The sequence below is a fragment of the Homo sapiens genome, chromosome 4 (genome assembly GCF_000001405.40).
Source record: "Homo sapiens chromosome 4, GRCh38.p14 Primary Assembly".
Classification (NCBI taxonomy): Eukaryota; Metazoa; Chordata; class Mammalia; order Primates; family Hominidae; genus Homo; species Homo sapiens.
The window spans coordinates 26,361,756-26,385,894 of record NC_000004.12 but is presented as its reverse complement, the minus strand read 5'-3'; the positions used below and the strand labels follow the sequence as shown (position 1 = coordinate 26,385,894).

The 24,139-nt window shown below is 38.0% G+C and overlaps 1 protein-coding gene across 18 annotated transcripts in view, besides 4 other annotated features; it reads right to left on the bottom strand.

The window, feature by feature from the left end:
* RBPJ (recombination signal binding protein for immunoglobulin kappa J region) overlaps positions 1–24,139 on the bottom strand; it is a 329,683-nt gene that overhangs the window by 49,237 nt on the left and 256,307 nt on the right. For 8 of the 18 annotated variants that reach the window (NM_001374401.1, NM_001379407.1, NM_001379406.1 and 5 more), the window contains one exon: positions 23,267–23,449. The exons of the other annotated variants lie outside the window; for them this stretch is intronic. In NM_001374401.1, the coding sequence (NP_001361330.1) occupies positions 23,267–23,283 (17 nt within the window). In that variant the 5' untranslated portion in view covers positions 23,284–23,449. The remainder of the gene's footprint in view (positions 1–23,266; positions 23,450–24,139) is intronic. 18 annotated transcript variants of the gene reach the window in all.
* Positions 12,800–12,849: an enhancer, noted in NCBI's record as "active region_21397". NCBI's record gives its function as "activates an Ori minimal core promoter by ATAC-STARR-seq in GM12878 lymphoblastoid cells {active_cell/tissue: GM12878}" and the evidence as "EXISTENCE:reporter gene assay evidence [ECO:0000049][PMID:35858748]".
* Positions 12,934–13,228: a silencer, noted in NCBI's record as "tiled region #2944; HepG2 Repressive DNase matched - State 8:EnhW, and K562 Repressive non-DNase unmatched - State 5:Enh". NCBI's record gives its function as "represses a minimal TATA promoter and a strong SV40 promoter by Sharpr-MPRA in HepG2 and K562 cells {active_cell/tissue: HepG2 | K562}" and the evidence as "EXISTENCE:reporter gene assay evidence [ECO:0000049][PMID:27701403]".
* Positions 12,934–13,525: a biological region, named in NCBI's record as "Sharpr-MPRA regulatory region 2944".
* Positions 13,025–13,525: an enhancer, noted in NCBI's record as "NANOG-H3K4me1 hESC enhancer chr4:26373992-26374492 (GRCh37/hg19 assembly coordinates)". NCBI's record gives its function as "activates a minimal SCP1, AML or CMV promoter by ChIP-STARR-seq in naive H9 embryonic stem cells {active_cell/tissue: H9 hESC(naive)}" and the evidence as "EXISTENCE:reporter gene assay evidence [ECO:0000049][PMID:30033119]".

The following is a 24,139-nucleotide window of genomic DNA, read 5'->3' as shown; positions in this document are numbered from 1 at the left end:
AGGGTTCAAGGGTGCAGTGAGTCATGATCGTGCCACTGCACTCCAGCCTGGGTGACACAGCAAGACTCTGTCTCAAAAAAATAAAATAAAAAAATAAATAAATAATATATTAAAAAAAAAGAAAAGAAAAAGAAAAAGAAAATTCTAGTGGGTATACATAGGCTTCATTTTAAAAATGTAAAAAGCAACAAGCCCAATGTCACAAAGTAATTAAGCATTAGGCAGAGATGAGACTTCCCAGATTTTAACTATTTAATTTGCCTATTTTTAAAATGGCCTAACATAGAAGCATTTCAACTGGTTGGGAGAGGGCAAAGAGAAAAGCAAGAGCAAAGGCAAGAAAGCACAATTCAGGCTGGAACTGGAGTACAACATGGCAGTTAAGATAAAGACTCTAGAGTAAGATTGGCTGGGTTCAAATCCATGATTCCATATTTACTTGCTGTGTAACCCTGAAGTTACTTGACTTTCTAGACCTGTTTCCTCATCTGTAAAAAGGACACAGTGACTGTGCTTACCTCAAAGAGTTGTTGAGGGAATTAAACATATTAATTAATATACAGAAAACACATAAGGCTGGGCGCAGTGGCTCACACCTGTAATCCCAGTACTTTGGGAGGCCGAGGCAGGCAGATCACCTGAGGTCAGGAGTTCGAGACCAGCCTGGCCAACATGGTGAAACCCTGCCTCTACTAAAAATACAAAAATTAGCCGGGTGTGGTGGCACGCGCCTGTAATCCCAGCTACTTGGGAGGCTGAGGCAGGAGAATCGCTTGAACCCAGGAGGCAGTGGTTGCAGTGAGCCAAGATCACGCCACTGCACTCCAGCATGAGAGACAGAGCAGGACTCCATCAAAAAGAGGAAAGACGAGAGGAAAGGAAAGGGGGGAGGGGAGGAGAGGGGAGAGGGGAGGAGAGAGGGGAGGGGAGAGGGGAGGGGAGAGGGGAGGGGAGAGGGGAAGAGAGAGGGGAGGGGAGAGGGGAGAGGCAAGAGGCAAGAGGGGAGAGGGGAGAGGCGAGAGGCGGGAGGGGAGAGGCAAGAGGCGGGAGGGGAGAGGTGAGAGGGGAGGGGGAGAGGGGAGAGGCGAGAGGGGAGGGGGAGAGGGGAGAGGAGAGAGGAGGAGAGGGAATAGTGCCTGAAACACAGTAAATACTCAATAATAGCTAGTAATTATTATCGTTTTTAGCTATAAGTAGTTAAGCCAAAATAACTAAAGGAACTAAATACGATTTTAATAGAGATAAATAAGTATATGGAGAATAAACTGTGGTTTCTATGTGATAACCTGTTATTTCCTCTGAAATAGGAAGTGTAAACTTCTGAGACAGTGAAGACACAGCACTTGAAAAAGACCTTGAAGCAAGACTACAATTATAAACAGTTAAGTAACTTGTTCATAAACACAGTTATAGGATATGAAGTCTTATTTGACTTAAAGATTTCTCTACTGTATTTGTAATGTTCCACAAGATTATTAACTTTGATGATAAAAGTCATAGGATCCCATTTAGTTCATTTTGTTCATTTGTCCTAAGATACTGTTTATGAATTGATAATTCACAAGCAATTAAGTATCTGTGACTGGAATATTTTAGTATTTTCATTAAACCTAAAATATTGAAAAATGGCTTTAATTGAAATAGCACAAAAAATGGGCAAATAACCCAAGTTTTTGAAAGAAGATGTATAATTAGTTCTGCTTGATTTTATCCCACATGATATTCAATTTCTAAAATCAAGAAACAAGGCAAGGCATGGTAGCTCATGCCTGTAATCCTAGCACTTTGGGAGCCCAAGGTGGGTGGATTGTTTTGATTGCAGGAATTTGAGACATGGTGAAACCCTGTCTCTACAAAAAGTACAAAAATTAGCCCGGCATGGTGGTGTGAGCCCCTAATCCCAGGTACTCAGGAGGCTGAGGTAAGAGGATCACTTGAGTCCAGGAAGTCGAGGCTGCAGTGAGCTGAGATCGCACCAGTCCACTCTAGCCTGGATGACAGAGCAAGACCCTGTCTCAAAAACAAAGAAAGAAACAAAACACAATGTTTTACTGGTAACATCAGCAAAGTAGCTGAGGAACACAGATTTCAAAACACTGAACTACTGATCAACCCACGAATTCCAGCTATGGAATTAAATGCAAAAATCTGAATCTTTTTCCACAAAACAATTTTTTACACCGATTAAATGTACCACTGTAGCATACGATTACAATAAAACTTCATTAAAGGTTATATATAGAATAGTGTACAAAAGCCAGAAAGTTTAAGATACTCTTTAAAATACTTCTTTAGATATAGATATTTATACATATGTGAATATGCAGTATTATACTTTATAAAGAGAGGCAAAGTGAGGTATGACCAAATTCTACCTAAGGCTTAAAATAGTAAAAATTTTAGAGACACACAGTTAACAAATGAGATAAAGCATTTTAATGATGCTGCCACCCATCATACCAGCTACAAATACTAAATATGTAACCAGCAAGTGCCCTTTGGGATGTATGCAACACAGGCTCTAACACAGGTTTAATTACATGGCTAGTAAGAGATTCATCGCACTCAAAATTCAACTGTAAATTTTGCTCCTTGATGCTCTGAAATTCTGTCAATATTAGATTAACAAGTAAATATTAATTAAAATATCTAAGTCCTTTTTTGGAAATGCCCATTAGATCAAGTCGACAATTACAAAACACGCCTGTGCAACAACACTCCTGCCCCACAGAAAATATGTGCAAAAGAGCTCAATATATTTGCCTGTTGAGTCTGGACAGTATTTTACACAAAATGATACATCCTTCTAGGTGCCATCCTAAGGCTACAAATCTCATAAATGTTACTAAGATCAAATTGCTTCTTCTGTATATAATAAGACATTTCTATTAATTGCATGCAATCCTGATCTTTCTAATGCATATGCAATCACATTCCTATTTATCTCATTAAAGCTAATGGTTACTGTATATATTGGAGTATGGAAAGAATAAGAAAATTAGTTTTCTGGAAAAAACTCAAAAGGAATGAGGCAGGTTGACAATGCATAATTTTAGCTGGGCGCAAGAGCTCACGCCTGTAATCTCAACACTTTGGGAGGCCAAGGTGGGTGGACTGCGTGAGCACAGGAGTTCAAGACCAGCCTGGATAACATAGCAAAACCCCGTCTCTTCTAAAAATACAAAAAATAGCTGGGTGTAGCAGCTGGAGTCTGTAGTCCTAGCTACTTGAAGGCTGAAGTGAGAGGATCACCTGAGCCTGGGAATGGAGGCTGCAGTGAGTTGTGACTGAGCCACTGCACTCCAGCCTGGGCAACAGGATTGAGACCCTATCTCAAACACAACAAAATAAAACAAAAAAAGACAATACATAATTCCGAGGTCACAATCAAACTAAATTCTAATTACTTAATAAATCTCCATAGGGATACACATTAAAAACTGTCAAGTTATGCTAAGGTACTACATGCATCCTGCACTTACCAAAGTCCACTTCCACTACTAATTTGATTAAACAAAATTCATAATGTGGTATTTATTTTATGCAACCAAAATAATCATTTCTCAGCAGAATGACAGCAGTCAGCTATCAATTACTCACAGATTGATTATAATTTAATGAATTATAAATCAATAACTGATTATACTGTCTCTCCATCTTGAAGTAGGGATACTGGGAAAGAAGGTACACATTTTTTATCTTTATTTGCACTCTATTTTAAAAATAAGGTGTCTACTGACATAATCTTGTTGAGAATCAAACCAGAAATAAGTTGGACCAATCATGTATAGGCAATTATTATGTAAAACATTTTTGATAATAGGTATATGGTGTATTTAACAATGGGAAAAAAAATCAATCCTTATGTGTCTAGGGGCCCTTTTAACTCCATGAAATGAGTTAATTCCTCATTGTAACAAAGAATCGCTGCTACTACCCAACTTATCTTTTTGCTAAGTATAGACTGTCAATATCTCACTTGCATGAGTAGGATTCTCAAATTTTCTGCATACTATATAAAATCTAGTTTTAATTAAATGTAATAATCCTGGCATACATTTAAAGGAAAAAAGTTATGATTCTGGGCTTTAATAACAACAACAACAAAAACAAAGCAAAAATGAACCAGGATATAGTTGATTTGTAAAATGCCCTTTCCTTCTTGCTCTATGTTCTGTATACTTTTCCCTCAGGCTGATAGTGGGAAGAAAGAAAACATCTGCTTACCATCACCACCCAGTAAGGCTCATATAATACCATGGCTCAAGAAAATTTACATTCTTCACCATATATATGTCATAAGTAAAATTTAAAACTAGCAAATTCATTTTACTTTAATTTCACTAGCTTTCCTCTTCTAAGAAAACAATGATTTTATATTCAAAGTAAGAACAGCTGGGGAAAATGCTAGTTAGTGTAGGTAAATCTGATTTCATACACCTGGAAGTATGAGATTTTTTTTAAGCTGCAATCTATCGTTAAACATGGTGCTTCCTACCTGTAAATAGTATTGAGGTTCCCACATATCCTCCAATCCATTAGAATTTTCAAGTAAGTAAAAAACCTGCATACACATTAATATATATACTTCTGTTTTGCTCACAGAGGAGGTATTGTTTTCTCCCAAACCACATAATTTGCTTCTATATACTTCCTTAAATAGATAGGTGAATATGACCATAAATGTATTGAGGACAAATGTGATAAAAGTTATCAAAACTACACCATCTTAACACCTTTTCTGGCTAACAGATGCTTCACATAAGAAAACCAACTCAAAAATCACAAAAAGAAGGAAAAAAAAAAACAAGAAAAAACTTTCTTGAATACAGAAAAATATAGTAATTACACTGCTACCAAAAAAAAAAAACCAAAAAGCAAAAATCTAATCTATCTAGAATGCTGTCTAGTAACAGCAGTAGAACTTTGATTCGAAAAACATAGCTGGCTGAAAAAACAAGCTCACAGGGACACCCTACTTGCCCTTGGGTTGTGAAACTAGAAGTAATTTATTTTTCTCTATTTCACAAATCTTCTATTTAACACAGAAAATGAAATAAAATAATGGGATTAAAATTAAATAAGACAAGAAACACGGTGAAGTATGTGCTGGAGAGAAGTTTTAAAAAAGCATCAACAATCCAAACTCATAATTAAACTAAACTTTACACCAATCTGCTGTAAACAGTATATAAATTTTAGGCAGCTCAAAAGTACTGGGATTTCTGAACCATGAAGCAGCAATTGATTGGAGAAAAAATAGGCCACCTGATCCATACCCCCAAGGCAAATATGAACCAGAAGAAGAAAACAAATAGGTGATATACATTATTACTATATTCTATGATAACAAATAGTATGAAAAGTTAAATGATACTAAGAAGCTGCTTAGTAATTTACACACACAAAAAAAATACATAACAGGCTCATTAGTAAGTAAGACTACTTTTGCTCCTTGTGTCCAGATTTGTTCATTCACCAAATAGTATTAAGCACCTCTAGTAGGGGGACAATTATAGGTAGCTGGTATACATCAATGAACAAGACACACAAATCTATCTCCTTATGGACCTAATATGCTATTACAACAAATGAACAACGATGTAGCTTCACAGACGTTCATCTATATAATTTATAAAAACAAAACATTCAGAAACTACTTAAATATTGTACCTATTGAATATGATTGAAGAGGTTAATATTTGAAAATACATTATTAAATAAATATGTAATTTTACTTTTAAAAGTTTACTCATTCTCCACCCACAGGTGCAGAAAATAGCTTAAGTCACACAAGAAGAATAAGACACTATGTCAGCCTTTGTCCTATTTCAATTTCTAGTTTCGAACCTGCTCTTACCTTAAAAACCACATTTAATGGCAATGCTGCTCGAAACTTGGCTAGGTATAACCAGTTGTCCTTGGCCACTAACAAAGGTGATCAAAGCAAGATGTGTTCTGGACAATCTCATCTATTAAACATGTTTTTAATGAAGAAACATCCTATAAGATGTTTCTTTCTTAGGCACTATGGCTCACACCTGTAATTGCAGCACTTTGGGAGGCCAAGTCAGGAGAATCACTTGAAGCCAAGAGTTCAAGACCAGCCTTGGGCAATAAAGCAAGACCCCCATCTCTACAAAAATATTAAAAATTAGGCAGGTGTGGTGGTTGATACGGTTTGGCTCTGTGTTCTTACCCAAATCTCTTGAATTGTAATCCCCATAATCCCCATGTGTCGAGGGAGGAACCTGGTAGCAGGTGATCATGGAGGAGGTTTCCCCCATGCTGTTCTCATGATAGTGAGTGGGTTCTCATGAGATCTGATGATTTCATGTGTTTGACTGTTCCTTCTCCACACATGCTCTTTTTCCTGCAGCTTTGTGAAGAAGGTACTTGTCTCTCCTTTGCCTTCTGTCATGCTTGTAAGTTTCCTGAGGCCTCCCCAGCCATGCAGAACTAAGGCAATTAAACCTCTTTTCTTTATACATTATTCAGTCTCAAGCAGTTCTTTATAGCAGTGTGAGAACAAACTAATACAGTGTTGCACACCTGTGGTCCTAGCTACTTAGGAGGCTGAGGCAGGAGGACTGCTTGAGAGGCGGGAGGATTGCTTGAGCCCAGGAGTACCAGGCTGCAGTGAGCTATGATCCCACCACTGTACTCCAGCCTGGGCAACAGAGTGAGACCTGGTGGCAAAAAAAAACAAAAACAAAAAAACCCACATCCTATGGGGTAGATTTCAAAGACATGCCATGCAACTGGCCACTACAGGTGAAGAAATGTACTTCCTTCTCATTATATTTGCTGTACAGAAACATCTGAAAAGCACCGTTTTCTTATTTTATTTTATTTATTTATTTTATTGAGACGGAGAGTCTCACTCCGTCGCCCATGCTAGAGTGCAGTGGCACAATCTTGGCTCACTGCAACCTCCGCCTCCTGGGTTCAAGCAATTCTCCTGCCTCAGCCTCTCGAGTAGCTGGGATTACAGGCACCCACCATTATGCCCAGCTAATTTTTGTATTTTTGTAGAGATAGGGTTTCACCATATTTGCCAGGCTGGTCTTGAACTCCTGACCTCAGGTGATCCACCTGCCTCGGCCTCCCAAAGTACTGGGATTACAGGCCTGAGCCACCACACTCAGCCTCATTTACTTAATTTTTAAAAGTCCTTTTATTCTACCTTTTTCAATTAAAAAACAAACAAACACCAATGAACTTCTCTTTATAACATTCTGCCAGCAGTTTATGTAAAGAAGCAGGAAGAATGAAAAGATCTAAATGAGGGTAACTAACAGCATCAACTGCAGCCACCCTCAGCATCTGGATTTTTAGGTACCTCCAATATTGTTTCCAGGTTTAGTTAATGTCTTTCCAAATATCCATACCTGGAGAGGGATTCCCCTGGGTTAAATCTCTAACACAAGCCCCACTACCCAGACAGCACAAGTAAGCTGTGAGAATACGGGTCTCCATTAACTTCTCATATGAAAGCCTTAAATGAAGAGTATGGCCTCAAAAAGAATTTTTTTAAATCTATGGCCTCAAAAAAAGAGAGGCAATCAGACTCTGGGGCAAACTACTCCAATTTCATATATCAAGACTGAATGAGACAAACTGACATCAAATGCCTCCTGATATGGTACATTAAGAAGAATACACCATCACTTCTCTCATACTCTATTACTGCCAAAAACACAGAACCAGAATCTAAACATAAGGAACAAGCCAAATTGAGGAACAAACCCCAACTGTGGAACAGTTGACAAAATGAAACAAAAAACTGAGGAACTGGCCCAGATTAAAGGAGACTAAGGACACACAGCAAAAAGTCACCCAGTTAGTAACATCAACTTCGAAAGAGAAATGAGGTCTACATTTCTCATCTCCCCTTCCGCAGTGTATACATAAAACCCACACACCCTACACGTGATTATTAGTGATAATGGGCAGCAGCAAAGATTGTATTTTGCTTTAAAATGCATTATATAATTTGACAAAGAAGTTTTGTTTTGTCTTACCAATTAAGTTTGGCTTAGGTAAACTACAAGACACAAGATAAAATTGCATTCTCTACACATCAACTGATGACCACTCAAGCACCAACTCTAGAATACAAGTGGCTTAAAATAAAAACAGAGAAAGGCAGATAAGTAAAGAATTTACAGAAAAAAATGTCTCAGTAAGCAAATTTCACTAGGGAAACCATTTTAGAAAATATATGCCTGACTCAAACAAAGAATCACATCAAACCTAAGGGTTTTCCACAAAGAGAAATACAATGAAACTTTAAAGAGGTTCCAAGTGTTTATTCAGTTGTTACTAATAACTCCTTCAGACGCCTCACTTCATCTTATGAACTGCCTTTAAAATGGCACACATGCCTTTATGAATTTCAGTCACAGTTCCCTGATGATTTTGTCTGCCTTCTAGTTTGGCCACTGGAAAAAGTAAGATAAATCTTTGGGAGAGGGAAAGCAGTGTTCAAGACCTGAAAAGTGTCACTTGATGAGAGCACACACAAAGTTTATCATACAGGCTAAGTGCATGGACTCAGGAACTAGGTTGCTTAAATTGAAATCCTGGCTTTATTGCAAGCTAGCGGTGTGACCTGGAGCAAGAAATTTACTCAAACTCTCTGTGCTTCAGTTTCTTCAATGGAAAACACAGATAAATGTACTTCTAATCAAAAAGGTTCATATATGTAAAGCACTATAATAGTGTCCAGCACTGAGTAAGCCCACTACTACTCTTTCAAGGCTGGATTACTGAATGATACCTAATCTAATGAATACTGTGAAACCGAAATGGTCCCTTCAAAACAAGTATATATTTATACTGCCTTAAAAATACATACAATCAAATATCGATACAGGATTTTATAAAGAACTCCTAAGCTCAACAACAAAGAAACTTAGTTCATAAATGAGCAAAGGAATAGACATTTCTCTAAGGAAGATACACAAGTGGCCAATAAGCACATGAAAAGATGCTCAACCTCATTAATTAGGGAAATGCAAATCAAAACCATGAGATACCACTTCATACCCATTAGGATGGCTCTGATTTAAAACAAAAAACAACAATAACAATAAAGTAACAAGGGTTGGCAAGGATATGGGGAAAAGTGGAACCTTTCATATATAGCTAGTGAGAATGTAAAATGGTACAGCCACTATGGAAAACAGTATGGTTCCTCAAAATACTAAACACAGAATTGCCATATGATCCATCAGTTCCACTCCTGAGCATATACTCAGAAAAAACAGAAGCTGGAATTAAAAGACAGTTGTACACTAATATTCATAGTACCATTATTCACAATAGCCAAAAGGTGGAAAACAACTCAAATGTACACTGACAATGAACAAATGGATAACAAAAATGTGGTACATACATACATATGATGGGATATGATTCAGCCTGAAAAGGAAATTCTGATATGTTACAACACAACATGAATAAACCTTGAAGACATGCTAAGCGAAATAAGCCAAACACAAAAGGACAAATATTATATGATTCCACTTATATGAGGTCCTAGAGTAGTCAAATTCATGGAGACAGAAAAATTGGTGGCTACCAGGGACCTGGGGGGAAGGGAGAATGGAGAGTTATTGTTAAATGAGCACAGAGTTTCAGTTTGGGAGGATGAAAATTTCTGGAGATGGATGGTGGTGATGGTTAAGTACATTCACAACATCAATGTACTTAATGTCACTGGACTGCAAACTTAAAATTGGTTAAAATGGTTAATTTTACATTATGTATATTTTACCACAAAAAAATATATTTAGTTTGTCCTTAAACTATGGCTTAGAGAGGGATAACTAAGCTCAGCTGTGAAGGGTCCTATGTTAGTGCCAGGTCAGGTGGCTCCAGCTGCCCAGTAACAGAAAAAACAGACAAGTAGTTGTCAAAACTAGCAATAAAAAGGAGATAAAAAGGAACCTGAGGAGTATATGTATGAATATAAATGGTTCCTATTACCATCAAGGTAAGGATACAAAAGGAGAGAGAAGCATAGTGAAGTCTGTTCTAGAATCCACGCCTCCCTAGGAAGGGCGGCCAGAGAGCACGCAGCAAGCATCCCTTTCCCCTGACTTGCTACATGATGGGCTTCGTGCCTGCTTTGTGTGCGTCCCAACAAAGACTGATGGGGACTGAACATCTTCCATGGAAAATCCACAATGTGATTATGGAAAACTGGCTTGTACATAGAAGACGTCACACAGTTTTTTCTTCCTTGCATTTTCTCTCTTATTTCTCACCCTCACTTCAAATTGTTTAAGTAGTGAAATTCTTTTGCCTATTTCACCTAAAACTGAGATGAAGAGGAATGAGGGAGAATGGTAATAATTAACTGTTCTCCTAGATTCTGGTTCCTTTTCCCTTTCACTATTCAACACACATGTAAGTGCCCATTAGGTGTTAGGTACCACACTAGACACTTGGAACAGATAGCAGCAAATAAGAAACACTGTCCCTATCCATATGAAGTACATTACAATAGCAGCTACTGGAGGGCAGGCATTATATTACATACTTTGCATGCGTATCTCACATCATACCCACATTATTCTTTTTTTTTTTTTTTTTTTTTGAGACAGGGTCTCCCTCTGTCGCCCAGGCGGGAGGGCAGTGACATGATCTCGGCTCACTGCAACCTCCACAGGCTGAAGTGATCCTACTCCCCAGTAGCTAGGACCACAGGTGCGAGCCACCATGGCCACCTAATTTTTGTATTTTTTTGCAGAAACAGGGTTTCACCATATTGCCCAGGCTAGTCTCAAACTCCTGAGCTCCGGTGATCCCCCTGCCTCAGCCTCCCAAAGTGCTGGGATTACATGCATGAGCCACCGTGCCCAGCCCTCACATCAATCTTACCAGGTAGTTATTATTATCCTCATCATACAGATGAGGAAACCAGCTTAGAAACTACCTTGCACAAGTTCATATACTGGTAAATTCAGTTCAAAATGTTAACTAGATTATAATGTTCATGATTTTCCACGTACTCTGTTAACTAGATTATAATGTTCATGATTTTCCACGTACTCTGCATTAGGACAGAATTTAATTGCATTTCAATTATGGACACTATGTTGTGAAAAGAGTGCCAGGGGCCGGGCACACTGGCTCACGCCTGTAATCCCAGCACTTTGGGAGGCAGGTGGATCACTAGGTCAAGGGATCAACACCATCCTGGCCAACATGGTGAAACCTTGTCTCTACTAAAAATACAAAAATTAGCTGGGCATGGTGGTGCGCACCTGTAGTCCCAGCTACTCGGGAGGCTGAGGCAGGAGAATTGCTTGAACCCTGGGGGATGGAGGTTGCAGTGAGCCGAAATGGTGCCACTGCACTCCAGCCTGGTGACAGAGCGAGATTCCATCTCGAAAAAAAAAAAAAGAAAAGGGTGACCGGATATGAATTTTTATGACAGAATTGTAAAGTGCACTAACTGACCTAAAACCTTCTATGATATAGCACTGATTTAGTGTGAGTGAGGGAGGCAACAAAAAATCTGAAAGGAAACTTTCTTTCATTACCTTCCCAAACCTTCAGTACTGACTAAATTTTGCAAGGGTAAAGAGTAAATTTTTCCTTGATTACTAGAAGTAAGAAAATGTTTTCTAAAGCTGTAAACATGGCAGAGCATGGTGGCTCACGCCTGTAGTCCTAACACTTTGGAAGGCCGAGGCGAGTGGATCACCTGAGGTCAGGAGTTTGAGACCAGCCTGGCCAACATGATGAAACTCCGTCTCTACTAAAAATACAAAAATTAGCTGGACATGGTGGTGTGCGCCTGTAAGCCGGTGGCGGGCACCTGTAAGCCCAGCTACTCAGTAGGCTGAGGCAGGAGAAACGCTTGAACCCAGGAGGCGGAGGCTGCAGTGAGCCAAGATCGTGCCACTGCACTCCAGCCTGGGTGACAGAGCAAGACTCCATCTCCAAAAAAAAAAAAAAAAAAAAGTAAAAAATAAAGCTGTAAACACAAAATTCAGGAAATCTAAAGACATCTGTTATGGGTGCCACACCTTGACTACATACATACACACATAAAGACACTTGTGTGTGCACATATATGTATGTCATAAATCTGATGCTGAAACAATTTCTCTTGCATTTTTCCTGCACAAGAGCACTATGTTACAATTGCAGTAGGGACTGTGACAGTCTTCTGAATGTACGGCTTACACTATCAATCAGAATTCTGCAAAGAACGCTTTTTTTCTAAATTGAAAAAGAACATGAATCTACATAGAGTTCCATTTAATGAAGAGGTTTTGTGTTCTTTTTTCTGTTGGTAGAAATTACACAGACACAGTACCAGTCCAGCCTCCATCAAACCATGTTTGGCCAATTTCTTAGCAGCCAAGCCTTTGACACACAGTTTGGTATTTTCATGTACTTGAATCCAGCAGTGCATCTTTCCTTTTCAATAACAGAGACCAGAGCATTTATGGAGCCCTTCAGAATAAGGCCTAATGCACAAAGGAAAGACCATCAGTCAGGTTTATAAGGGGTTAAGCTACTTCAGAGAAGCCTGCCCCTAAGGAAAAAATTAAAGATGACAATTGCCACTTTTAAACACATATAAAATAGGACATTGTAGATATTCTACACGAGTTTAAAAATAATGCAATAAACTAAAATAAAATGATGGGAATCAAAATTCCTATGTTCAGAATGGGGGAGAAGAGATTTCCAAAACATTTTATGTAACACCATTACATGAAAAAGGAAATGCCTTTTTTGCTTGAGTGTTAATACAAAGCAATACATTTCTTCTTTTGAATTGTAACTTACATTATAATGATCAAACCTACATTTGTGGTAAAAATGAAAACCACTTTGAAGAAGCGGTCTTAACCACAATACAAAGCTTACTGGCTTTCTGCCAACGTGTATCTGAGCCATTAAGCTGTCACGTTGCCTTCCTGCATTGCTAGGACCAAAAGAGCAGGCCCACCAGCTAGTATCTGCTCACTCAAGCCTCACAGGAGGCCATGAGGCTCTGAAAGGGAAAAAAACAGCACAGGAGCACAAGGCTTGATGGTGCAAGATCTAACTGCAAGCTGCTTTGCCTTGGGTAATACTACAAGCTCATTAATGCTTCTACAAACATCTGACAATGTTTGCCTTTGGAAAGGTTTGGAATTGAGACTGGCCAGATCACCAAGCACTGATTAAAGTACACATCATCAGTAACTTATGGAAACACTAGTATAGGAGGGAAAGCCTTGAGAGAGTGAGTCGGGGTGGCAATGCAGAAGACAAGAACAAGGCCCCTAGGAAGTGGACACGATTTTCAGAGTTTTGAGTCATTCATGTTATGTATTTACTTGATACTTTGCTATGCTATGTATGAACTCAAATTGTACAAGCTGCAAAGGTGTTGTGTTACAGTTAATTTACTAGTTAACTGTCTAGTCAATCGCCCTACGTCAAATTGCTTAATTAAGAAACAAGAGACTAGTTTTTCTTTAAAGATGAGCTCCACTGTAGCTATTTAATTCTTAATATTCCTCCTCTCACCAACTTCTGCACAGGCATGTTTCCTAAAGTCATGTGGTGTCTCTACTGTCTACAGCACTAGTATTACTGATCTCCTCCCTCATCTTGCCTTCCACCACAGGCAGTTCACTAACAAATTCCATCAACTGGATTTCCAAATTATCTTCTCTATCTCCATTCTCTAAATCTGTAAGATTAGATGAAGTCTCATTGCCACTTATACCTGTAGCTTCCTCAACTGGCTTCATATAGCAAAGTAAACGAGACAGCAATAGACAAAATACATCTCCTTATGTGTATTCTCATTTAAGTATCATTAACAATCCTGAGAGGCAGCATTATTTCTAATTTAAAAAGGAAAAACGAAGGTCGGAAAGCCACAAGGTGAGGGTTTCCCTCATTCCTGACTCTACAATGATCAACAAAGGTTAAAGATAATGAGCCCCACATATAAAACAAATAAGGAAGCCATATTCTGTTCCATAAACTACTTATATTCTTTGCCTTTCCAAAATAATGACTTTATCCCAATTCACTGATAACATTTATTCTCTTTTCCCAGTAAACAAACCACCTATCATTATTTAATGTTTCAAAGAAATCACTTCTTAACCTGTAATTGATTTCTCAGCAAACCAAAACTGTTGAATCCCAAGGATGAAATACTGTAATATTCCAATTTGAGAATATGAAGCAATAGCATAAGGTGAAATAAACCAGGGAAATCTGTGTTAACAGCTGTAGAGATCACTCAAATTCAGACTCCTAAAGAATTATAACTAAGTAACCTAGCAATGAAGAAAATGTCATACCACTGTATTTGTGCTGAGAAAAAAAAATGCCAACTAGTTTCCACAATAAACTGGAAATGCACACTCAATATTTTAGGCTATAACTTTTAATCCTGGGCAGTATTTTTTCTTAATAGCATACATGCCCATTAGAGAAATATGGCCAAAGTTATAAGCTTGTATTATTCACGTTCAAGATGACTCATGTGTGTACAATATTGAGTTCTCAAATACAAATCTGTATGCAGTAGGTGCTCACTATATGAATAAACTGTAATAGCAAGTCATCTGTTAAAACACATGCAACCAAAACAAAAAGATTATTATGGAATTTTATCTATTAAACTACATTATTATTTAGATCAATTACAATTTAACATGATTAAAGCACAGTTAAATGATGATTTAAAAAAACTGATCTGTAATGTTTAAGTTAATTTCCACGATGGAGAAAAAAATTGTAAGTTGACATTAACTTTTCAATTTTTTTTTTTTTTTTTGAGATGGAGTCTCGCTCTGTCGCCCAGGCTGGAGTGCAGTGGCGCAATCTCGGCTCACTGCCAGCTCTGTCTCCCAGGTTCACACCATTCTCCTGTCTCAGCCTCCAGAGTAGCTGGGACTACAGGCGTCCGCCACCACGCCCGGCTAATTTTTTGTATTTTTAGTGGAGACGGGGTTTAACTGTGTTAGCAAGGATTGTCTCGATCTCCTTATCTCGTGATCTGCCGGCCTCGGTCTCCCAAAGTGCTGGGATTACAGGCGTGAGCCAGTGTACCCAGACCCTAACTTTTCAAATTTTACAATGGAGAGAAAAGGGAACTATTTTACCAAATTCAGGTAGCTAAAACTGATAGAACTATCTTTCCTATGGAGAATGCCCTACAAAGATACAACACTATAGCTTACTGTTATTACTTGCTCCACAAGCAATGTTCTTTAATGAAGCATGGTGCCACTTCAAGGAAGTGATAATCCACATTTTTGAAAGATTCTATAAAGAAGTGGTATCAAGATCTAAATGGGAGTCTCTCAATACACCTTACAAATTCCCTGATGTAGTTTTGTTGAGTCTAAAACTAATTGATTGGAAAATGTGATACACCATGTTCAGATCTCCAGCAATTACACCCAGGCAATTCTTTACTATAGTAACAATAATATACCACTGTGTTTAAGAAAATAATGACATTATTAAACATAATGTTATTAGTTAACAAATTGATTACCTGTGCTTTTAAAATGTTAGGAGCTCAGGATATAAAGAAGAATTTCAGATTGAAAAGAAAACCTTAATTCTAAGTAAAAATTTGAACTTTGGAACAAAAATCAAGTTGAAAGGGAGTCATTCTAACTGTTAATTTTTCCTATTATTTATCAATGTTTTGGTTTGGTTCTAGCATTTCTCCAAAATTAAAACCACTGGTCCAGTTATTATATTTGACAAGGCCTTTATTCTGAAAACTACTACTCATCCTGGATCAGCTCTCTCCTTTTTGGACAATCTCCTAAGATCTAAGATTTATGCTATTCCCAGCATCCTCCTGACTTGATCCTTGTTGGTCAGATAACTTCTCACTTGACCTGCCCAGTTCGCTGACTCAAAAGCAATGTTCACATACTATTCTTTTACAGGCAGAATGTACAGCAAACTCTTTGGTTTGTTCAGGCTGCATGTAAATGAGGAATGGGAGGAGAAGAGAGAGAAAGGGGCTGGTAGGTTGGAAGAGAGAGGGAGGAAAGCAGAGAACACTGGAGTACAAAAGAGCAGTGAAAAAAAAGAGAAAGAAAAGATTGTTTGAGGGAGTGTCACAGCCACCAAGTTGAAGAGAAATAAAAGAGAGCAATGGAGTATCTAGTGACCATAAAAGGGCAACTGTCCACCTCCTAACAAACCAAATCTGGTCAGCCCCAAATATGGAAATGTTTTAGTTGAAATACAGAGCTTTTCTTCTGTGGAATATGAGCATAGATCACAATCAAATAATCTCACACTTGGATATCTACCACTGTGAGAAAAATCTGGTGAATTATTACATAAACTCTTTCCACATTTTGCTTCCTCAAAATCCAGGTTTTTCTACAAAAACAAACAAAGAAAAAATCCCAACACTTTTATAGTTATTCTAGAGCTTCCGTCTCTGTAAAATAGGAATGTTAATTGTTAGCAATCTGCAGAGCTATTGTGAAGACTGGGTAAATCATTTGGTAAGGGAAATCTTGTAAGCGCAATATTGATTCATTGTTAGCATAACACACTCAGATATTCTTGGCCTTCAGATGTACCAATCCCCACCTCACAAGAGTTCAGTGATGACAAATTTCTAGAAATTGAAATCATTTCAAAATAAGATTACCTTCTTATATATCTAGCTATTCTCTCAGTTTGTAAATTAAGAGGTTGGTAAATAAGAGTATGACCTGTTCTGCCATGACAAGATAGATGCATGTCTTAAAAACCTAGTAGTATCAAAAGTTCATTCATTTGGCTAATATTTGCTGAATACCTGTTATGACTATTCACTGTCCCAGGGGATGGAGTTACAGGAGTCAACAAAATAAGCAAAATCTGCTAATGAGGGTAGGGGAAAGAACAGATTTGGAAAGTAGACCAAGGATTGAAAATTGGCTCCCTACAGAGATAGTGACTGTTTATTTCAAATATGAATGCTTTCAGTGTGTTCTGCTTGCACCCAGTCACCCCCCATTTTATAAGCATATTTGTGTCATTTATCTCTGGCCTATCCCTGCCCCAGGGCTAGAATTTCTCACTCAAGTTAGTTTTTCCACAGAAAATTCAACAACAAAGGAGTTTATTTAAAGTTAAATTTCATGCACATTTGATTAATCTAGCTGCTTAGCTGCTGCCACCAACACTTCTACAGGCATTTTTAATCCCCTCACCACCCTTGGGTGCCATCTCTGGCTACTGATCTCAGTTTGGGGCCAACTAAACTAGAATGCAGTTTAGTTTCCTTCTAAAGTACACTCTAGGCGGAGAAATTTACCAAAGAAAAAGAATACACGCTGCTATCATGCATGATGACAACCAAAGGAAAGACACAAAGCTTTGAAGAAACAAATTCCACAGAGAGACAACACAAAACCTCGTGCTTCCAACAGGATAACCAGTATGAGGTGGAAAGCAGTGACAATGAAGTGAGTAAACATAACTTAAGGGGGAAAAAAAGCAATCCTCTTACAATGCCAAAAAGCCAAAACAACGCTATGGAAAAGAGTAGGAAGAGTTGGATAATCTGGGAGAAGACAAGGGGTTAATGTGGAATAGGGGGAATCTGGTGAAACAAAGCAACAGAAAAAAATGAATTCAATTCTTCCATACTCTGAATCCATATGTTTTCATTTACTGCCTCCACCACTAAAGATGTATGCCTGCACACATCTGTACAAAGACAAGCAACCATCATCAGGGTAGTTAACACACTGATTGGGAGAGGTTATTTATCTTCTGTAATTTCAAAACGTGATTTCTGAAGAGCATATCATGCCCAATTCAGAGAACTGAACTATGTACTTTGACTAAATTTCCAAGAACTTGCAGAAAAAGATGAATTATGCATATTATCTTTTGTCCTCCTCTTTTGGCAAATAATTCTTCCATTTTTCAACTCCCAAGTGTAGAAAACTAATGTACAAATTCCACTGCTGTGAAACAATTTACCAGAAGTCTTCATCTTTTCACTGTTTTCTAAGGAGAAAGAAACTATATTTTAGACAATCTTAAAATATACATATGCTGATACCACCCTGCTTTGAAGCCTTATTTATTTTAAAATATTCACCAGAAACTCTGTGATCATCCTCAATAAATCTATAAAGCAAACATCTGCTGTTATGAGGACACTGCAGTAGGCACAGGAACTAATCCAAGAAAAATAAAATTTAAAATGTTACTGAAATCTTCACAAAAACAGAAGCTTTAACATTTGAACATTTAACTGCCTTCAATATTTGTAATGTATTGGATTTATGCTTAATTTTTTGCAACTTTAAATTTTATATTTGCCTTCTGAATTGAAGAAGCACCTATTATACAAACAAGTCCTAACATATAAAAAGTGAAACTGAGAGGTTTTATTTTTTATTTTTTTGAGACAAGAGTCTTGCTCTGTTGCCCAGGCTGGAGTGTAGTGCCATGATCTTGGCTCACTGCAACCTCCGTGTGCTAGATTCCAGTAATTCTCCTGCCTCAGCCTCCCAAGTAGTTGAGATTAACTGCATCTGGTTAATTTTTGGATTTCTAGTGAGATGGGGTTTTCCCATGTTGGCCAGGCTGGTCTTGAACTCCTGACCCCAGGTGGTCTGCCCACCTCGGCTTCCCAAAGTGCTGGGATTACAGGCGTGAGCAACTGCACTTGGCCTGAACTGATAGGTTTTAGCGTGCATCATCATTTTATTTGTATTTTCTTTTTATTTTATTAATTAATTTATTTTTTTGAAACAGAGTCTCACAACTGTCGCCCAGGCTGAAGTGCAGTGGCGCGACCTCAGCTCACTGCAACCTCCACCTCCAAGGTTCAAGAGATTCTCCTGCCTCAGCCTCCCGAGTAGCTGGGATTACAGGCGCCTGCCACCATGCCTGGCTAATTTTTGTATTTTTAGTAGAGATGAGGTTTCACCATATTGGCCAGGCTGGTCTCAAACTGGTGACCTTGTGATCCACCTGCCTCGGACTCCCAAAGTGCTGGGATTACAGGCGTGAAACACGACGCCCGGCCTATTTGTATTTTTTTTTAAACTGCATGAGTCTCTTACATCAATGCAAAGCAAGGGTAAATCCTTCCACAACTAGGATGTATTGTAAATTTCCTATGTATGAACCTTTAAATATTTACCAAGACAGACTGGGGGCGGTGGCTCATGCCTGTAATCCCAGCACTTTGGGAAGCCGAGGCAGGCAGATCACGATTTCAGGAGATTGAGGCCATCCTGGCTAACACGGTGAAACCCCGTCTCTACTAAAAATACAAAAAATTAGGCATGATGGCACGCGCCTGTAGTCCCAGCTACTCAGGAGGCTGGGGCAGAAGAATCACTTGAATCCAGGAGGCGGAGGTTGCAGTAGAGCTGAGATCATGTCACTGTCCTCCAGCCTGGGTGACAGAGCAAGACTTGGTCTCAAAAAAATAAATAAAAATAAATACACATATATATTTACCAGGGCAAACAAACACATACACATCACAAAACAATATAGCAACAAAAAAACAAAACCAAAGTTTTATAGCAAACTAACTGTTCTCTACCATCAGAGATAAACAAAACAAAACAAAACAAAACAAAAAAAAACTACTGATCTGGTAATATTTGTCTTAAATATCTGAAGCTTTTGTGGCTGAGGTCAGCTTGGCAATATGAATTTATTAGACTGAGTTTCATAGTTTTCCAGTTGATAATCACTAGAAATTAGGTCTCTGCAATCCCATACATACACATGCCACTGACACAGAAGTTTTAGAAAGGTATATATTGTGTGATACATTCATAATATTTTCTATTTTGTTCTTTTCTGTTTCATTAGGGGGTAGGGGGTTCACGGGAGGCAGCAACTTGCTAAATTGATTCCAGAGTGTGCTACCACTGGCAGTTTGAAAACCACTGATCTATGAGTTGATAACCATCACAATACATGCCAAGGGGCAAGATACTACATCACTCTACTTAATAAAACAGCCTTGGTTAATGTTACTCAAAAGCCACTGCTGCTATGTTCTTCTACTCTCTATTCCTTAGATACTCTCTAACAACCTTTACTTCAAAAAATAAAAGTAAAAGATGGTAGGAGGACCCTTGAAAGTAATGTAGAGGATATGGCATACCATTAGAAAGCATACTGAAACTTATGCTGGTCACTTCCTCTCAGAAGGCAAAATAATATAAAACTAATACCACTTTTAAAGGATGTCTATGACTAAGGGAAACATACACTTAGTGGAACTAAACAATATCCACATAAATGTGGATATATTTTATTTCAATCTTTTGATAAAACTAAACAGAAGTTTCAAGAAATACATTCTTTTCTATATTCAATGCACTGATATTTTATTTTCTATGCTAATACATGCTTTAATGCTGGTCATAACCCACTGAATTTATTTCTTGACCCACTCATGAATGTGCTGAAGCCTGCAATTTGAAAAACACAGCTTTAGAAAACACACACATCACCCCAGCAGGATAAGATGATCATGGATAAAGTAGCAGACTCCAGTGGCCACCTTCTTTCACTGATGAGAAAAAGCCCAAAAAATTGAAAACATCAGTCAAATAGTGATGGCTTATTTTACTCTAGGAATAGCATAGAAGAGTACAAGACTCAGTCAGGGTAAGAAAAATGTAATAGCGTACCCTCTACAAAAAAAAATCTAATCTGGCATTTAATAATCATCAACACTTAATCTGACACTGGCTTCCTACATGCCCAAACCTGCACTGTGTGTATATATATAATTATCTATATATAAATCATATTATATAATTATATAACAATATGCTTATTTTTCTAATATATAAATTTATGGGTTTCTTCAAGTCACTCTTAGAACTTGTCACAATAATAAGGGAAGGATTAGATTTGAAATGCAGGTGAGGTGACCCCAGGATCTAAGTAAGCTCTTAACCACAAAGTTATAAAGACTTCCAGGCCGGGCACGGTGGCTCACACCTATAATCCCAGCACTTCGGGAGGCCGACATGGGCAGATCAGGAGTTCGAGACCAGCCTGGCCAACATAGCGAAACCCCGTCTCTACTAAAAATACAAAAAATTAGCTGGGCATGGTGGCTCGCGCCTGTAATCCCAGCTACTGGGGAGGCTGAGGCAGGAGAATTGCTTGAACCGGGAGGTAGAGGTTGCAGTGAGCCGAGATCACACAATTGCACTCCAGCCTGAGCAACAGAGCAAGACTCCATTTCAAGAAAAAAAAAAAAAAAAGAAAATGAAAAAGAAAAAAAAAAAAAAGTCTTCCAAATAGAACAGGACTTCCCAATCTAGCTGTACATCAAAAACCTCTGCGGAGTTAAAACAAAACAAATGGATTCTCAAGTGCTACCCCAAAAAGAAATGTTAAAGTTGAGATAGCAAGTATTATAAAGAAACAATTTTGTAAACAACACATTGAACACTATCCTGAAACCATTATGTCCAAGAATATCTTTTTGGAGGGTGGATACTATTCTGTCCCATCAGACATAAAATTCCTGATTGAACTAATTGATTGCCTTGGCTAATAAGCAGATGATTCTATCTTGGAACTTGATTAGATCACTGTTATAGACTAGAGTTTAATATAAAGCAGTTTCATCTTACTTTAACAACTAAATTCCATTAAGAATATAACTGCTAACATACCAAAAGGATTTTAACATTAAGGTAGACTAACTGACAAAAATCATGGACTATACCAGTGTATTTCTATTACACTTATCTACCCATGATTTATTTAAACCTGTCTTCCCAATATTGTTTCTTTTATTACCTAAAAGAGAGTTCTGAATCTGATGTAACATTAATGAATTCAGCATTCTTCACTCACTTCTACTACTCTTTAAAAAGAACATTTAATACCAAACACACAGTATGAAAATCAGGTTTCCAAGATTTCATATAATTAAGAAAATTTTCATTACATCACTCAAAATTTTATAAAAATAAAAACTTAAAAGGTTTTTGATTAAGTAGGTATTACGAAGACTAGAATTACTATACTAGTAACCACAAGTAACAGCAAAACTATATACCACAAACACATGAATAACTGCATACATACATTGTTAAATAAACAATAATCACAATATTAATTTTTTAAATTACTCATCTTTGGCCAGGTGTGGTGGCTCATGCCTGTAATCCCAGCACTTTGGGATGCTGAGGCAGGCAGATCACCTGAGGTCAGGAGTTCGAGACCAGCCTGACAAATATGGTGACAACCCGTCTCTACTAAAAATACAAAAATGAGCAGGGCGTGGTGGCGGGCACCTGTAGTCCCAGCTACTCGGAAGGCTGAGACAGGAGAATTGCTTGAACCCAGGAGGCAGAGGCTGCAGTGAGCCAAGATCGTGCCACTGCACTCCAGCCCGGACAACAGAGCAAGAATCGGTCTCAACAAAAAAATAAATAATAGGCTGGGCACAGTGGCTCACGCCTGTAGTCCCAGCACTTTCGGAGGCCGAAGCAGGTGGATCACGAGGTCAGGAGTTCGAGACCGGCCTGGCCAATATGGTGAAACCCTGTCTCTACTAAAAATACGAAAACTAGCCAGGTATAGTGGTGAGTGCCTATAGTTCCAGCTACTCAGGAAGCTGAGGCAGAAGAATTGGTTGAACCCAGGAAGTGGAGGTTGCACTGAGCCGAGATAGTGCCACTGCACTCCAGCTCAGACGACAGAGCAAGACTCCATCTCAAAAAGAAATAAAAATAAAAAATAAATAAATAACTCATTATCCTTTAAGTGAAAATTCTTTGGAAAAGAAAAAAACTGTACTAAATGGCCCAAATAAAAATTGTTTTGTTTGATCAAATTAGTAACCCAACTGAAGACTTCATCCAACTATTTCCTGTACAGGCTACCATAAAATGACAGTTCTGTAGAGAACTAGTCTATGATGTAAAAGATAATTACAGAGTAATACATGAATAATCCCTAAACTATTTGGTGAATGAAATTACAGCCCATTACTATAAAAACTTAGGGAAAATACTTACAGTATCCTCCACAACCATGTATCATAAAGGAAAAAGAAAATCCATGGGTTTTTGTAACAAAAAATACTACCATAAATCCATAACCACATCTATAATCAAAAGTTATATAACTTAAATATGTAATAACTAAATACAGAATATCTTAAATATGCATTAACTAAATACAGAATCATGAGTGTTCATTCTATCCATGACCTTGGGGTCACTGGGAGATTTCTAAAGCATACCTTTTAATCCACGCCATGGTACTTCAAGAACATGTTAAGGTAAGTCACAGCTTGGAACACTTCGATGCACCTCAAAACACCTCAGCCAGTGTATCTGTATCATTCTCCTTTCGTTTTGAGATCATAATGGTTCCGAAGAACTATAATGCTTCCATTTGAATGATAGTCTCATAATTTCAATGACTTAAAAACAAAAACAAAAAATAAGGCCTTAAGTGTTGGTATGTTAAACTGCTAGTGCACTGTGTTAACTGCTGCCATGACTAAGAAAAACAAAAAAGCTGCTGCTACCCTGTGTAACACTGTCATTTTTAATGTGAACCCTCATATGAATGAGGAATAGAGTGACAGTCCTTGCTTTATCGAGATCTTTCTAGTAAAACCCCACAAATCTCTTTGCCCCAATTGTTTCTTCAATTTTCTTCTCAGGGAATAAAAATTACTTAAAAGACTGGTCTGAAGACTTGCTAGGTGCTAGGTCTGCTTCTCAACGACCACTATTCTATTCTGTGAATGAGGGCCAGAAATCACCTGTACACCTGTCTAAAAGGAAACTGATTAATAGACTAGGCAGAGGATCCTTCAAACAATGCTCTTCCTGATGCCGTTATTAATGAATCCGGTTAATTCCATGGACGTCATTAAACTGAAAACAGCTCCAGTTTCTAAAGATTACTTCTATAGTGGCATTCATAAAAATGAACAGACAGACGGCTAACCATCAAGTTTTACCGCCATTCTCTGATTGACTTGGCAGGTATCTGTTCCTTTCCTCCTAACCCCACCCCAGCTTTCTTACATAAAAACATAAAAAATATTTCATTTTTAGAAATGGTATAGTAAGAAGTGTATGTATCACATTTTAAATCTACT